The following is a 17,379-nucleotide window of genomic DNA, read 5'->3' on the forward strand; positions in this document are numbered from 1 at the left end:
TTACAGGTGTGAGCCACCACACCCAGCCAACCTTTGCTTTTTGACAGACACTGTTAAGAAAACAAAAAGGTGGCCGGCCTGGGAGAAGATCTTCATGATACATACATCTGACAAGGCCCTTGATTCCCAAATACATACATTTCTAAAAACTCTTGCAACTTGGTAAGACAACCCAGTTAAAAATTCGGCAAAATATTTGAAGCAGCACCTCATAAAAGAATGTAGACAAGCATCTTTACCCATTAGGAAAACATTAAAACGACAATGAGCGACAGTTACACATCCACTCAAATGGCTAAAGAGAAAAGACGGACTGTAACAAGTGTAGAGCAACCGGAATCCTATCTTGCTAGCGGGAGTTCTAAATGGTACAATCACTGGAAAACATTTTGGCAGTTTATTCTAATGACTGAACTTACACATACTTGTATTAAGTTATATATACTTATCACATGACCCAGAGATTCTACTCCTAAATTTTTACTTAAAGAAATAAAAATATTGCTGGGCACAGTAGCTGACACCTGTAATCCCAGCACTTTGGGAGGCTGAGATGGGTGGATCATCTGAGGTCAGGAGTTCAAGACTAGCCTGGCCAACATGATGAAACCCCGTCCCTACTAAAAATACAAAAATTAGCCAGGTGTGGTGGCAGGCGCCTGTAATCTCAGCTACTTGGGAGGCTGAGGCAAGAGAATCGCTTGAACCCAGGAGGCTAAGGTTGCAGTGAGCCGAGACCTTGCCACTACCCTCTAGCCTGGGTGGCAGAGTGAGACTACATCTAAAAAAAGAAAGAAATAAAAATATATCTGCACACAAATGTCCCTAGTAGCTTTATTCAAAACAGGCAAAAACTGGAAACAACCCAAGTGTCCATCAACAGGTGGACAGATAAACGAACCATGGTATATGCACACGATGGAACTCTACCAAGCACCGACAGAACTTCTGACAGATGCAATGCCACAGGTCAATCTCAGAAACACTTTGTTCACTGAAAGAAGCCAAACACAAGAAGAGCACACACCGCACAACTTCACTTTTATCAAAACCTAAAAAAAAAAGCAAAACTAATCCACCGTGAAGATGGCAGATGAGTAGTTACCTGCATTGGGGTAGAGGATTAACTGCAAAGCACCATGAAAGAGCTTGTTTAGGGTGATGGAAACATTACCTTGATTGTGGTGAATGCTAAACAAATGACTGCTTATCAAAACTCAAGGAAAAAGATCCACTGACTTCATATAAAATACATCTCAGTAGAGCTGTCTTAAAAAAAAAAAAAAAAAGAAAAAAACAGGCCAGGAGTGGTGGCTCACATCTGTAATCCTACCATTTTGGGAGGCCAAGGCAGGAGAATTGCTTGAGCCCAGTAATTCAAAACTAGCCTGGGCAGTATAGTAAGACCCCATCTCTAATTAAAAAAAATTTTTTTTAATCAGCCAGGCACGGTGGTGCATGCCTGTAGTCCCAGCTACTCAGGAGGCTGGGGAGGGATAATTGCTTGAGCCTGGGAGGTCAGGCTGCAGTGAGCCGCAATGACACAACTGCACTCCAGCCTGGGCCACAAAACGAGACTCTGTCTCCAAAAAAACAAAAAGAGAGAAAGAGACAACAACAACAACTGGCTGGGCATCAATAAAAAATAAAAAGAGCCCCTGCAAGGTGATTCATGGTGAAACTTCAGAGCACCCGGGAAGGAGGAAAACCTGAGTGAGGTCATCTGGGTCACATACAGGATGGGAAACCCGCATGGCAGCAGATTCCTCAGCCTGGAAGAGAGAAGACAGCTGGGCAACCCCCTCAAGCTGGGGAAAGCGCTTCCATCTAGTTACACAATCACCAGGGAAAGGTGGAGGAAGGCCCCTTCAGAAGCTGTCTCAGAAATGGTCCCGGAAATGCACAGCATTAGCCTTTCCTCAGACGGCAGGGAGGCTCCTGCACCCAGGTAGGGACCCCGGCCAGGAGGAGACGGGTGAGCGGCCTGGAGCAGAGGTGAAGGGAGGGAAAGTCCAGGATGGCAGACATGCAGGTGGCTGGGGCAGCAACCATGCAGGCAGGGGCAGGACAGAGTCCCAGAGGGATGCCACAGAGGAGGAGAGACTCAGAACATGGCCATTCCCCCACAGATGCTGCAGAGGACGACACAGAGCCAAACCCAAGGAGGGATTACCCAGGTGTGGGTGTGAGAAGCTGAAATCTGCACTCAAATGCACCTGCGCACAGCAGGCATCTTGGAAACATGGTATCTATGCCCAAAGGGAATTCAGACCTTATGCATCAAAGAATTGATGCTGGAGAAAAAACTCACCCTTATGGAAATCGTACCAACAGCCCCAAGCTTATTAAACATGCAGCAATTTCCAATGGGGAGAAACCCCACCTGTAGAGTGAAAGCTTTGGGGCACAGCTCGAAGCCAGTGAAGCATCTGAGAACCCACACCGGAGAGGGCCTAGGAACACAGCGCGGGTGAGAGAGTTTGCTCGGGGAACTCGCACTTCCTACACACCCGGGCATTCACACTGCAAAAGGTGCTTTGGAAGCATTCAGCCGGTATCGCATCCTGCAGTGAGGACTCGCACCCGGGAGAAAGTCACATAAGGAGAAACCACTAACGTAAGGAACTTAAATTCATATGGAAATGGCAAGAAAACAGTAAAATATGGAAAACACTGAATACAAATGTAAATAATGCATGAGAAAAAAGAAAAGGTCATGAAAACTAAACCAAGTATTAACTCCAGGAAAAACAAAGCATAATACAAGGAAAGGAACATGAGTTGTGAAAATGGGCGCCTGACCACAGGAACATCAAGTCTGACTGTGAACGTGTCCAAAGCTGTCAATGCAACCGCAGGGGAATGAGGAGGAGGGGAGTGGAGGGCCATGGAAACTGTAATCACTGTAATTGCCATTTGTCACAATCCTACCTCAGTAGATCATGTCCACAAATGAGGAGTCAGGAGCCGGAAATACAATGTATTTCTTTAAAATACAGAGGTAGAAACGAGAATAGCATGGAAGGAAAATGATGTCTCTGGTTACAAGGAGACCACCTTCTATTTATCTGCCAAGTCCACAGAAACACAGAGGCCAGCAACAGCCTGAAAAGTCACTTACAAATGCACAGCAAATGAGAAACGTGACCAAGCAGGGGAAAAAGAAACATACCCTCTTGCCCAAAAAAATACGGGCAAAGATAACAAACAAGTGATTCACCAGAGAAGGAGAGTAAGGGACAGATGCTCTTACCCAGAATCTGCAATTTTACCCAGAATTAAGTTTTTCTATGTCTTTACCATAGAAAAAGACACTATTTTTCACCTTTCAAATGGGCAAGTAATTTTTAATAATGCCCAAGATATGGGAAGACATGGGAAAAGACACCTACACAAACTAATAGAAAGGAAAATGTTACAATCTTTAGGTTCAGATTTGGCCAAAAAAAAACAAGCAAACAAAAAACAAAGTCCTTAAATATGAACAACCATTCCCCTCGCAGGAACGTGGCCTGAGGGAAATCATCGTGGCTGGACGGAGACTACTGCACAGATGGAGAGGAGACAACTTGACCTCCAGCAACACTGAGATCACAGAAGGGCCACAGGGGAGTCACTGGAACGGCTGAAATCAGATATCTGGCCAATGAGCAGAAACTCACTGCACAGTACCGTACCAAGCAGAAACGTGGCTTACGACAGAAAGCACAGTAGGCTCCCCACTGTGTTGTAGGCCTATATAACACATACAAATCAAGAAAAACTATCAGAATTTTTACCAAAATGTTAACCATTTTCATAGGTGATAAGATTACGGGTAATTTACATTTTATTCTTTTTGTTCATCCATAGTTTCTACATTTTCTATAACTATGTCATTTCTAATACGAGGAAAAATCAATAAAAGATATTAAAGAAAAGCTAAAATTTGACTTTTGATCACAGGAAGCTTCCACTAGCATTACAGGAGCGTCCCCGAAGCTCAGGCTCCTCTGGAAATGTGAACTAGGCCTGAACACCATTTTCCACAGAATTCTTGCAAGCACTTCCCACATGCACGCCGCCAGGTGAGAGCCAGGGATGAGTGAGACATGGCGCTCACCACCAAGAGGCGTCCTCATGGGTAGAGGCAGAGTGGGGCAGAGATGCTACTGGCTGACACCCAAATCTGAACTAGGGCCCGGAGGCTCCACTGAGTCCTAGAAAACCCTGTGGCTTTCTGTCCCTACCTCACCGCAGGATAAGGAAATGTAAGGAGTCTGCCCATCCACCTGGTTCACCAACCCCAAGCTTGGGTAGGAAAACAGCTCAAGAGCAGGGCAACTGTCTTAGAAAAAGTCGAAACACAAACGTCTGCCAACTCCTGACAAAGACCCGCCTTTCACAGCGACGGAGGGGTCTTCCAGGGAGCCAGCAGATGGAGCACCGGCCTGGCTCTGCATGTGCAAGCTAACTATCAGTAACTCCAGAACCATCCTGCGTGAGCCTCTTATTCAGGCGCGCTAATACAGCCTCACATGGGGCCACACAACCTTCTAGTTCCTTTGCTGTGTTAATGCGCAAACTTAAACACCTTTTTGCATATCAGGATGCTTACTAACCAAAGGCTCCGGTAAGGTAACCTTATAAATCATTAGACACTACTAAAAGTAAACATTCTTTACATATATTGTATTTAAAATTACACTATGAGCTTCTAAATGTAAAAGGAGAAAACAGCATTTGGGAAAATGCCATTTTTTTTCCTTAATAATCAAAATGCTTCTGAAGGCATTTTGATAAACTCCTTTATTGCATATAGGTGCATACTATGAAAATAAAAAGAAATTATTCACTGGCCAGGTGTGGTGGCTCATTCCTGTAATCCCAGCACTTCAGGAGGTCAAGGAGGGAGGACTGTTTGGGCCCAGGAGTTCGAGACCAGCCTGGGCAACACAGTGAGACTCCCTCTCTACTAAAAATTAAAAAAAATAAAAAAATTAATTAGCCAAGCATAGTAGCACGTGCCTGTGATCCCAGCTACTCAGGAGGCTGAGGCAGGAGGATCACTTGGAGCCTGGGAGGTCAAGGCTGCAGTAAGCCATGATCGTGCCACTGTACTCCAGCCTGGGGGACAAAGTGAGACCCTGTCTCAAAAAAAAAAAAAAAATTTAAAGGCACTCAAAGTACCGACATGTGCTGCATTTTCAGATATAAATTCATCACCCTCTACTCTCGGCCTGCGGGAGAAACACCTGCTTGCTTTGCTTCTTTTTAACTACAGCAGACACATTTCTGGACACAAAATATGACTGGTCCCAAATGAAGGGCTGGGTCTCAGCGTGACAGACAAGGTGTGCTGCTCTCAAGTGAAAAGGAGACCGGCCACAGAAGCAGAGTCACACACCACATCTAGGCAGGGCACTCACCTTGTTGATCCAGAACACCATGGCATCCTCGAGGTCGTACGGAAGTTCTTTCGAGGCACTGAACGTTGAGAAGCGCTTGACACTGGCCACCACCTTCTCGATGCTGATCATCTCCACAGTGTAGGCCATCATCAGGGCATCCACCATTGCCATGTGGGCACTCTAGGGGCAGAGGCAGCAGCTATAATCCCTCAAACCCACCCCTCTTACCAGGTTCTGATGCAGGGAACCTGCTCATACTCAGCATTCTGGCCTAATTTCTTCATCCCTCGCCCTTTCCGTCTGAAGAGATACTCAGATTTGAGACCTGCCTCCCCCGCACCATCACTGTTCCAAGCCTGGCATTTCTGGTCAAGCCTCAAGACCGTCTGGAACCAGGAGTCCGTTCTCAGGCAGGCAGGCCAGCCCTGTGGCCCACAGTGCACTGTCTCACACTGTCCTTTCTTATCTCCTCAACAGCCCTGTGGGACTCCCAGGAAAGGCGGTGCAGCTCCCAGGTCGTGGTTGTGGGAAGGCAGACAGGAGACCTGCCCCAGGCCAACTGCCCACCAGAGGCCTCTGGCTCCTAGTCCAGAGCTCTACCTGCTACAGCTGCACCACGCCTTAGTGCAGCTTCCTCATTCGACAGGAATGACACTCTCTTCAACCACCGCACGGCACCCGCAGTCTCACCGGGAACGCCATGGGAGCAACCAAACAAAGGCAGTGCAGGAGGCACCGAGAATGGCCCTGACCCAGAACGCTCTGGAAAAGGCACACCAGTAGCAAGGCTTCAGAGAAAGATGGGGGTGGGATACTTGGGGGAGAAAAAGGCAGACTGAGTTATTTTAGCACAAAGTATGCATGAAACAACCTAACAGAATGGGTGCAACAATTACATTTCTCATCTGTAAAAAGTCTGCTTCAAGTATTTTTATTAACAGGCCTCACTCCAATCTCAGCATTCACAGAGCATTCCCAATGAGAAAAAGAGCTCAATGAAAGCTCTCTTTTCCCCATTCTCCACAACAGTCATGTGCTTTAAAAGATATGCAGTTTCCTAAGGAACGCCAGTGTGCAAAAGCACGGGTCTCCACCACCTCGCCGCACACCGTGTTCACACCATCCATGCACCAGGTGCGCCACACGAGAGCCCACGGCTCCAGAGGATGGCCCCTGGGGGCGGCCACCGCAGACCACTCACCATTTTTATGGGTGCGCGACTGAGGTCGGACTCTGTCACGGGGGTGTCATCACTCTCCATCACATAGATCCCTTTCCGGGACAGGGCCTGGATGACAGACTGGTGTCCCTGTAAGGCGGCCACCTGGTCCCCTTTCAGGATGAGGCTGCAGACACGGCAGTACAGCTCGCTGGACAGGAGAAGCTTGATAACAGGCGGCTTAATGTGCTCCTGCTCATACTGGTCAACGTAGAAAGGGTCTCTGAGGTCCTCAGGGATGTTATCTAAGACAGGGAGGGGATGACCAGGTGAGTGCCACACACAAGACCCAAAGGAAGGAGTTCAAGGCTGCAGTGAACTATGACTGTGCCACTGTACTCCAGCCTGGGCAACACAGGGAGACCAAGTGTCAAAAAAAATAATTGATTGATTGATTAAATGAGCAACTAACAACGTGAAAAGGCTCTAGGCTTTTCAATAATTCTACTGTCTTCTGTACTTACAAAGGCAACTAACTGTAGCATCTCAGACTACTCTGTGAACACAGACAACTGAAATCATTTCGTGACCTCCACCGTGACCTCAAAGGATGACTGTCCTAACTTAACAGCAGTAAGAAGGTAGACATGGGAGCCCTGAGTGTGTTAATGGGGCTGAGGGGAAACCAGCACAGGCTAGGACCATGTAGTGCCTGGGGACACCAGCGGAGACAGCATGTGGGCAGGGCTGGCATCAGCCCGGGGAGGGAGCCCAGCATCCTCTTTCTGACATGAAAATCAGAAGTGATAACAGAGGGTGAACACCCATGGTCTTTACAGAAGAGGGAGCCAGGCAGGCGTGGTGCCACTGTAACCATGACGACACAGCAGCAGCAGCAGCAATCAGCCTTTATCCATTTTTGGACCAGGCAGCATCAAACTCTTGACATGAACCACGCTACTTAATCTTGCCACTGCAGTTCCCTCAAATGAGGACTACCATCTGCACATTACAAATGAGAAATTGAGGCACAGAGAAAGTAAGTGCTCAAGGCCACAGGAGGCAGAGACCAGCCTGAACCCACACAATCTGATCCAGAGAGCCTACTGTATACTTCCGGCTGCAACATACGCCGCCTCCCACACAAACAGCGCAGGAGCAGCATACACACGGGACACCGAATGTGTCACAGCTGGCCTCACCCACTTTTCTAGCCTTGCCACTATGCCCCTCACACTGTCTCACAAGACATCAACGGCTGTCCCACTAAAGACGGAGGACGAGGGATGTCTGCAGTCAGACACATTTCGGAAACACGTGACCCCCAGGTCTTTAATGTGCCCCGCGCCCAACACTCTGCTAGGAGGTGCAGATACTCCCACCTCCACAGAGTTTAGAAAGGACTACCACCTCCACAGAACAGCTCATGAAGAAACCCCACTGACTCCTAGCGTTCAGACAACCAGTAACACTAGAGACATTCATGGGGACACTAACAAACCTGTCTTGTGTTCCGAGCCAAGCTCTCCTAAGCTCTTCCCCAGGGGAAGAACCAGCTGTGGCGATGGTTCCCCACAGCACCCCTCTCTCTCTGCTGCCATCTCTTCTGGCTTCCTTCACTATTTTCCTGAGCCCTGAGTCACTTCATTATGGTCCCATGGAGTCTGGTCATTTCCCCACAATCTGAGCACCTCATAGCTGGTTTACTTCTAAACGGCAGCAGTCACCGTTTACACAGCATTTTTGTTTTAAGCATGGTTGTACACAATGATTAGGTCATCACGGCAACCCAAGGGCAGCCAGGGCTCCAGCTATGGAAGGCTGGCTTAGTGGATGTTAACAGACTCAAATCCTATACTTGCTGACCACATCGAGTAGCCCCCTAATCTGAAATCATTGGAACTTTTGAAATACAACAGAGCACAGCAGTAACACAAGGAACAGGCCCCAATGCCAAGCACAACGGGAAGACTTCTGCTGTCCTTACAAACTGCTCAAGGAAAGCTGACCTGCAGAGGTGAGCACAGAGCCACCCCGCACACGCCGGAGTGAGACGTCCCAGGAAACAAGAGCAAGGTGGCCAGGGACAAACAGGCGGCCTGTGGGCCCATGTTTGTCCAAGTTCCCTCCACCCATGGGCCGTGGAGGGAAGTCAGGGGAGGGCACTGAGCAAGGGATCCCATAACCTGAAAACGTTTGCAGCAGTTCACACCGGCTGCGGGGAAAGATGCGACAGTCACTCTCAGCCTTCCTCTTATTCAACTGACCACACCAGCAGCCCACCTAGTCAGGGCTCTTGGAGGGAGCTGCCTTTCTCCTTTCGGGGTACCTGGCCTCTTCCTCCCATCTCGCTGCCTGCTCCATCCCCATCTCCTAGGCCAGCTGCCCCTCACTTCTCCAAATATTGGAAGGGGCACTTCCTATCTCACTCCTCCCTAATGACCTAATTCAGTCTCATGGCTAGAAATACCACAGACACACAGTCATCCCCAAATGTACATTTCTGGCCCTGATCACTTCCCTGAACTGCCTATCTGACATCTCCATGTAGATGTCTGGGGGCACCTCGAGCCTAACCGGCCTGGTCCAAGCCACCCTCTCCTCCCACTTAGACAACTGTGATGCAGTCCCCCTAGGAGAGCAGAAACTGGCACAGCTGAGGAGAAAGGCCCCAGGGGACCCCTCAGAGTGATGGCTCTGTGCAGAGTGGGAGACGGGACAGGCACGTAAGTGGAGGGCTGGCATTAGATGGAAGCAGGGTGAGCCCCAGGGAGAATGGCAGAGCCTACCTCACAGATGCAGAAACCTGGCCAGACAGGAAAAAGCAACCATGGCTCTGATTTAAGTTTCTCTTTTACAATCTACCAAGTAGAAACGTTTGCCATAGGGTGACCCACTTTTAAAATTAATCAATATAAAGTGATTCATATAATCACCTTTTTGAATCATATATGAATATGCATAACACAACTAATTCACATAAATTTCAGATGCAGGAAAATGAGAGTTAAAGGAAAATGACGCACTTACTAAAGATACAAGCTTCAGACTGTGGTGAAGCCCTCCTAACTGTATGTTACTCCTTTCCATCCGGCCTAAGGAAGACCCTGGCCAGACCCCCAACTGGGTGACAGTGGCCACACTCCTCCATGGCCCTGCTGTGGCAGTTCTGCCCTCAGACACTGCACTTGTCCATGAGTAACTGGCTTCAGTGAAAGCAACTACTGCGAGAGCTGGATGTGCACAGTTCTAGAACGTTTAACGTTCTATCAAAATCAATACCTACTTAAAAAAAAAAAAAAACTTTGTGATGCCTTCAATGTATTTCTAATAGTTTCTTGTTGTTTTTTCTACAAACCAGTAAGACTGTTAGAATTAATACACATTCATTCGACAATTATTAAGTACCCATGTGAGCCAGAAAATGTACAAAAATGCCAGGGAGTCAAACAGGAAGAGATAAAGTCACTGTTCTCAGGCTGAGCCTCGTAAGACAACTGAAAAGTCAACAGGTAATTTCCACGCAATGTGGAGGGTGTCACACAGGATGAGTGCTGGGGGACTGGGGTGCAGGAGACACCAGTCCCGCACTGAGGAGTGGGGCAGTGGGGCAGTGGGATGTGCAGGTGGAGAAGTTTCTTAGGGAAGGAAGCAGCCAGTAGGGGGGTGGGTAGGAGCGAGAGGAAAACATGAAAATGACCCTGTTAAGAGAATTTCAGCAAGTGACAGCAGTTCAGAATTGCGCGGAAGAGGCAAACTGGATGTTTCATTCATTAGCTCACCAGGCTCTTGTGCGTGCCTGCGCTGGGAGGACCTGGGCCCTGCGGGATCTGTCAGCAGAGCGAGACAGGCTTAGGCGGGCACACAAGGAATGCAATGAGACCACATCAAGTAAGGGGGTCAGACAAGCCAGAGGACGAGGAGATCCCATCTGCTGGAGCTCCCCGTAAACAAGAGTGGAGAATGAGCGTGGACCCAGGAGGCTGCTGTGGTCACCGCCAGGAGAGACAATGGAGGCTGACACAGGCAGGCAGCCCCGGGAAGGGGAACCACTGCCCAGGAGGCGTGAGCAGCAGGCCTGTGCCTGATGCAGTACGACAAAAACACCAAACTTATAATTCCTGCCAGCCTGGAGCAGGACGGTCCCTTTTCCTAAGACAGGAAACCAGTAGTGTGGAGGAGGAGGGCAGTCGGGGACAGGAGAGATGAGCCTGTGGGACCCAAGGGGAGCTTTGCAATGGAGAGGTGTAGAGACTGGAAGCGCAAGAGTAAAGGGACCAGCTGGAGACGTGCTTTGGAACCCATTACATATACACAGCCATCGATGCCCAGGGGGACGAGTCATCCAGTGAGAGCCGGGCGCAGTGGGAGAAGCTGGTCAAGGCAACCTGAGGACACCAAGCCCACGGGACAGATGTCGGGAGAGAAGCCAAAGAAACGGACAAGTGAACAGAGAACGGGGCGGGGCCAGAACATGGTGCTGCCAAGGCCAGAGGAGGTTTTGAAGGGGCAGTGTGCACCAAGGAAGGCTGAGAAGGATGCATGCATGAAGACCACAGAGCCCGCCGGACTCAGCTGGCAGCCTCGGGAAGAGCATTCTGAGAACTGGTGAAGAGACAGCCGCAGGCACAGAAGGAAGGAAGTGAGAACAGCGGGAACTGTGCCTCTGCTCTGAGGGGAAAGTGTGGCCAAAAAAGATGTGTCTGCTTTAAGGATTGGAGAAACGGTGACGAAAGAAAACCCAATCAATGGGAGAGGCTGAAGAGGAGGAGGCTGCTCCTGAGAAAGGAGGCCCCTCGGGAGGCGGAGGGGAGGGATGCAGGGCCCAGGTAGGGCAGTGTCTTTCACTGGGTCAGGGTACAGACGCAGGGAAGGGGTGGGCGGCCCATCAGCACCTGCAGTTTGTCTTACTATGTTAAGCAGGAGGCAGGGCATCTGCTGAGTGGGAGGGCCCAGCCTGGAGGAAGTGGGGAGAAGTGCGGCTACAGGGGGCAGAGTGAAAGTCAAACAAGGACACGGGCAGGGCAGGGGCCCATGGAGACTGGAGACAAGAGTCGGCAACGGCACTGTCAGGGTGGCAGCACTGTCACTCCTCGGACTGCTACGTCAGTACCCATGAGCAACGCATTCGCAGTGGCTGCTGGACTGCTGTGGGGCAGGCCTCGGCGGGAGCCACACAGAAAGGCCCTGGGAAGGGGTCAGAAGACTCTAACCAGTCTGCAGTGGAAGTGAGGTCAACACTAAGTGCAGGAGGAACTCAGAGGGGTGGCAACTGACGGAGAGCAGGAGTTGGAGCGCTGGGGTCTCCCAAGGGCAGGGCCCAGCACAGCCACCTGGCCCAGAGTCCCAGCTTGGCCTCTTACTGGATCCCTCTGAACCCTGGCCCCCTACCTGTCCGTTCCGAACAACGAAAGGGTCTATCTCCTGCCCTGCGCCAGCTGAGCATAAGCTCTGTGGATGCACACGGGAGTCTCAGCTGTTATTCCTTCCGTCGCTATTACTGCAATGAGGATGAAAAGGCAGGTCAGGAAGTGGCCATCTGTCGACTGCAGCCCTCCCGCGGCACCTGCACGGGGCTCGGGAGGAGGTGTCCACACCAACCGCCAGCTCTTCCACGGCAGCACACGGCAAAGACCCCTCTGGCAGGTGCTACAACTGTGGCCACTGCCCAACCTAAAGCCAGCTACTCCCGTAGCCTCCAACTCAGCCCCAGGAAAAAAGACCAGGCCACTGCAGTGCCAGGCACAGCCCAGAGACGTGCAGGACAGTGAGTCTCTGCTCTGTTGCTTGTCTGAGCCACCTGGGAGCTGAGACCAGCTCTCCCAGAATGTCCCCGTGGGCGGCCTGGCTATCTGCATTTGACACTGAGAAAGTCACCTCTGCAGAGGCCCCAAAGGTGAGTGTCTCCACCTGGAAAACGTGGATACTCTTCCTGTTTGGATATAAGGAGTCAACGGAAATAATTCCAACTCAAGGTAAAAGCGACCAGTAGTCCACGCCCCAGCTCCATCCTGGAGAGGCCAGACACAAGGGTAAGAAAAGCTGATGTAATGGTCCCCACAGGGCCAAGACCACCTGACCCCCACCCAGGGACAACCAGTAACAAACTGCACCTTGACAGCGGAGCGCCAGGTGCACAGACAAGCACACACCCCACAGGGCGCTGGCCCGGGCATGCCACACCAGGCTCAGGTGCAGACTTGGCTTCCAGCCAGAAGGCCAGCAAGGGAGACCCTCGGGAACCCTCAGAGAGGGGAGAGGATCCCAGAGAAGAGGGGGCTGGATAGGGAGACCCTCTAAATCTGTGTCACATCCTGGCCACTCCTGAAGCAACTACAGTGGCACAGCAGCCACTCTGAGGGCCACAGCCCACAGCCCAGCCAGAGCGGCAGGACGAAGACCGAAAATGAAACCTACGCTCAACTGTATGTAGCCCCCAGGAGCAGGTCAGGGCCTGCAGTCTCGACGTAACTGGGTGGACTACCTGCTAGAACAAACCAAAACCAACACCTCAGGCCTCCAACAGGACCCACGGCCTCCAAATACAATATTGCAAATGCCCAACACACAACCCAAAGCTCCTTAACAAAAAAGAAAGACCCACAGGAAAACCTGCAACTTCCAGGAGAAAAGGCAATGTCCCAAGGTTGGGACTGTCTGACAAGGAATTCAAAGTGACCATGGAACAATGCTCCAAGAAGCACAGGCAGAAGCCCGAACGAAACAAAAACTCTCACAGAAACTCAGAGAACTCCCAGCAAAGAGAAGCCCCAGTGTGGAGAAAAGACCAAGCCCGGAGCAGAGGCCACGTGCTGGTGAGGAGAGGCTGGAGGGGCTGCAGAGCCTGCCTGCTAGCAGCTGCCCTGGGCCATCTCATGAGCGCAGTGACAGAGACCTCACTGGGCCAGGAGGCAGACACTAAGGGGCAACCCTCATAGCCCCTCCTCCTCCTTCCCCTGAGCTCTTCTGAGAGGCCGTGGGAGCGCATGGGATGGTTAGAGTGGAGCACAAACTCTAAGGCCAGAGGCTCTGCACCTGAGGCCCGGCCGGCCACCCTCATTCACACCTCAGAAACCCAGCAGGAAAGGTGCTGGCACCAGGTCCTCTCCCCGTAAGCTCCCACCCGTAGCTCGCTCCCCTGAGCTCACGAAGAAATCTCGAGGCCCCCAAGGGCCACAACCACTGCAACCGAAACACAAACTGCACAGCCTGAGCCTGGAAAGGAGGCATGGAGCAAAGGTGGGCAAAGGAGCATGGGAGGCCCCTCGGGGTGGGATGGGAGGGAGCCTCCTTCCAGGCACGGTGGACCCTGTGCTAGGCCAGTAAGCCCCCGTGGCAGACACAGTAGGACAGTGCACACAGCTCACACCCGCAGAGGCTCCGCATGCCCAACCCACACCCATGGAGGCTCCGCATGTACAACTCACACCTGTGGAATGCTCCACACACATACAGCTCACACCCACAGAGCCTCTGCACACACAATCCACACCTGCAGGAGGCTATACACACACAACTCACAGCCACAGAGGCTCCACACACACAATTCACACCTGCGGGAGGCTCTGGCCGGCCAACTGGGTGGTGAGGAATCACCAGGCCAAGTTCAGGCAGAAGACGCAATCCAGAGAACCCGTCCCTCTTCCTGGACCGCGGTTTCCCCCTGAGGGCGCCTGGGAGGAGCTGTCCGTGCCAGGAGAGGTGGTAAAGACGGCAGGCTGTGTTTCTGGCACCGCACCTTTCTAAGGACAAAATCTGGACTCTAGGGCCTGCCCAATGACGCCTACCACATACTCTGGGTGGGTAACCTGAAGGGCTGCACCCAGGAGCAGGAGCAAACGTGAAGCAGCCCAGCCTCAGGGGACTAGAGCACGGCTCTGAGGCACCTCCACCAGGGCCTCGCGTGGGGTGACCAGATCTGTTCCTGTCTCCAAGGGACCGCTGGAAGCCAACGGAAACTCCCCCTGGGAAAAGATTATATCTTAGGCCTCAGACTGTTTCCAAAATCTTTCACATACAATGGTCAGTTAAGCAAAATGACAAGACATCATGAGCAAAAGCCAGCAGAAACAGTAACAGAAGCAAGCTCCCAGACTCCTGAAGCCTGCCAAGATGAAGACAGTCCAAGACAGCCCCTCTCTCCCGCTGACAACAGCTAAAAACTCTGGACAAAAGACAAACACCTACCTAAGGACTCTGGAAAGTAAGCTGCAGCAGGCACACTGGGGAGGAGGGTCCATCCTGAAGAAGGAACCCAAAACAGGGGACTCCTCAGGTTCGTTTTCTCTTTTCTGCCCTGGCTGGACCTGAGGGCAGCCCCAGACAGCCAGGCTCAGAGAGAAACCCTGTCTTTCTCTGGCTAGAGGACGAGGAAAAGGGGCCCCTACAAGCTGGAGGGGGAATCCTGAGGGCTCCCACTTTTCTCTCCCAGCCTGACCCAGCTGGCTGCAGTCACAGAGCTGTGCAGTGGCAGCATGAGCAGCAGAAACAGGGAAGCCTAGGCACGGGGTAAGGAAGGAGGAAAGCCCATCTTTCTAGGCAGAGGCTGAGGAAGAAGGTTCCTCGGAGCCAGAAAGTGTGTAAGGAATTCACAAAAGGAGAGCTGGAGAGGGATCCCCAGAGACGTGTATGAGCCTGCAAGATCTGGGCTTACTCCTGAGCTGTGTGTGCCTTGGGCAGGCCCGGGGCCACAGGCAAAAGCTGTGGAAGCTGAACCAACACTGCAGCCACCACCCATGACAGCAAAACGGACTCCTGGGCTGAACCCAATGGGGTTTATTGCAACCCAGCTGCAAAACAAAATCAACGTTATCCAAAGGACTTTAACAGGACCCAGAAACCAGTCTCACAGCATGATGTTCACAGAGCCCAATGTTCACAGAGCCCAATCCATAATTATTCAACAAAGAACCAGGAAAATGTGACCAATTTTCAAAGGAAGAGACAACCAACAGAGGCCAACCCCAAAATGACCCAGATGTTAGTTATCAAAGACTCTAAAACAGCTATTATAAGTTCCATGAGGTAAAGCTACACTCTCTTAAAATATATGAAAAAATAGAGATCTCAGCAGAGAAATTAAAAACTAGAACGAAAATTTCAGGACTAAAAAGTACAATGGCAACATAAAATTCACTGGATGCGCTCAACAGAATGGCAACGACAGAGGAGTCAGTGAATATGAAAATAGATCAATAGAAAGAATCCAATCTGAAGAACAGAGAGAAGAAACTGATGGGATAAAATGGCAAGTCTTGAAGTATGAGACGATGTCAAAAGTTCCAACACTGTCGGTAGAGAAAAGGTTGATGCAAAAAAGTATATGAATAAATATGGCCCAAATCTCCCCAAATCTGGTGAAAGACACCAATTTACAGGCTCAGGAAGCCTAGAAAACCCCAAACAGAATAAACTCAAAGAAAACCGTGTGCAGACATGGTTCATAATAAACTGCTGAAGACCAAAGGTGACGAAACAGGCCCGCAGGACCCCACAACTTGAGGTACCAGCCACAGACTTTCAGTTACCATGCTTCAAACAATAGCAACAAAAAAGACACGATTAAAATTTTGGACAGAAAAGTGGAAATTACAAAAAATCAAAAGAAGAAGAAAAAAGAACTTGACAGATTAGAAAAAGAACAAAATAGGCTGGGTGTGGTGGCTCACACCTGGAATCCCAGCACTTTGGAAAGCTAAGTCAGGTGCAGTGCATCACTTGAGCCCAGGAGACCAGCCTGGGCAACATAGCAAGATCCCATCTCTATAAACAAATTTTTTCAGAAAACAACAAATCATGGCCAGGTGCAGTGGCTCATTCCTGTAATCCCAGCACTTTGGGAGGCCAAGGCGGGTGGATCACGAGGTCAGGAGTTGGAGACCATCCTGGCCAACGTGGTGAAACCCCGTCTCTACTAAAAACACAAAAATTAGCCAGGCATGGTGGCATGCGCCTGTAATCCCAGCTATTCGGGAGGCTGAGGCAGGAGAATCTCTTGAACCCAGGAAGCAGAGGTTGCAGTAATCCAAGATCACAACATTGCACTCCAGCCTGGGCAACAGAGCAAGACTGTCTCAAAAAAAAAAAAAAAAAAAGAACTAATCAGAAATTATAGGCTGGGCACAGTGGCTCACATCTATAATCTCAACACTTTGAGAGGCCAAGGTAGGAGGATCATTTGAGTTCAGCAGTTTGAGACCAGCCTAGGCAACATGATGAGACCCTATCTCTACAAAAAGTTTTAAAAATTAGGCGGGCAAAGTAGAACCTGCCTGTAGTCCCTGCTCCTCAAGAAGCTGCAGCTGGAGGATCACTTGAGCCCAGGAGTTCAAGGCTACAGTGAGCCATGAATGCACCACTGCACTCCAGCCTGGGAGACAGAATGAGATCCTGTTGAAAGAAGAAAAGAAGAGAAGAGAGAAGAGAAGGAGAGAGGAGGACAGTGAAAGAAGAAAAGGAGAAGAGAAGAGAGACGAGAAGGAGAGAGATGAAAGAAAGAAAAGAAAAAAAGAAAAAAGGCAGGAAAGGCAGGAAGAAAGAAAAGAAAAGGAGAAAGGAAAAAACAAAAAAGAAAAAGAAAAGGCAGGAAAGGCAGGAAGAAAGAAAAGAGAAGGAAAGGAAAGGAGAAAGGAAAAAAAGAGGAAAAGAAAGAAGAAAAGGAAAACAAAACAAAAGAAAGGTTGTAGAACAGAAAAACATAGTAACTAAATTTAACTTTATACAATGGGCTGATGAATAGATTAGATACAGATAAGAGAATTAAAGCATCCTGAGTGAAGAACAATGAGACAGAAATAACATACACTGTGCCACTGACATGTAATTGGAGGC

General features: G+C 50.1%; 1 protein-coding gene across 9 annotated transcripts in view, besides 3 other annotated features; it reads right to left on the bottom strand.

Annotated features, from left to right (window-relative positions):
• CAMSAP1 (calmodulin regulated spectrin associated protein 1) overlaps positions 1–17,379 on the bottom strand; it is a 99,060-nt gene that overhangs the window by 67,738 nt on the left and 13,943 nt on the right. For 3 of the 9 annotated variants that reach the window (NM_001411031.1, NM_015447.4, NM_001437279.1), the window contains exons 2-3: positions 6,592–6,854; positions 5,409–5,570 (exon numbers count right to left, since the gene is read on the bottom strand). The exons of 2 other annotated variants lie outside the window; for them this stretch is intronic. Coding sequence is in view for 6 of the 7 variants with exons in the window: in NM_015447.4 (NP_056262.3) it covers positions 5,409–5,570; positions 6,592–6,854 (425 nt within the window). In the remaining variant the exon portion in view is untranslated. 4 more of the 9 variants (NM_001437280.1, XM_011518272.2, XM_017014301.1 and 1 more) reach the window with 3 other exon arrangements.
• Positions 2,075–2,707: an enhancer, noted in NCBI's record as "H3K27ac-H3K4me1 hESC enhancer chr9:138770145-138770777 (GRCh37/hg19 assembly coordinates)". NCBI's record gives its function as "activates a minimal SCP1, AML or CMV promoter by ChIP-STARR-seq in naive H9 embryonic stem cells {active_cell/tissue: H9 hESC(naive)}" and the evidence as "EXISTENCE:reporter gene assay evidence [ECO:0000049][PMID:30033119]".
• Positions 11,359–11,653: an enhancer, noted in NCBI's record as "tiled region #8889; K562 Activating non-DNase unmatched - State 14:Gen5', and HepG2 Activating non-DNase unmatched - State 10:DNaseD". NCBI's record gives its function as "activates a minimal TATA promoter and a strong SV40 promoter by Sharpr-MPRA in K562 cells, with weaker activation in HepG2 cells {active_cell/tissue: HepG2 | K562}" and the evidence as "EXISTENCE:reporter gene assay evidence [ECO:0000049][PMID:27701403]".
• Positions 12,833–13,536: an enhancer, noted in NCBI's record as "H3K27ac-H3K4me1 hESC enhancer chr9:138780903-138781606 (GRCh37/hg19 assembly coordinates)". NCBI's record gives its function as "activates a minimal SCP1, AML or CMV promoter by ChIP-STARR-seq in naive H9 embryonic stem cells {active_cell/tissue: H9 hESC(naive)}" and the evidence as "EXISTENCE:reporter gene assay evidence [ECO:0000049][PMID:30033119]".

Source organism: Homo sapiens, chromosome 9 (genome assembly GCF_000001405.40).
Source record: "Homo sapiens chromosome 9, GRCh38.p14 Primary Assembly".
Lineage (NCBI taxonomy): Eukaryota > Metazoa > Chordata > Mammalia > Primates > Hominidae > Homo > Homo sapiens.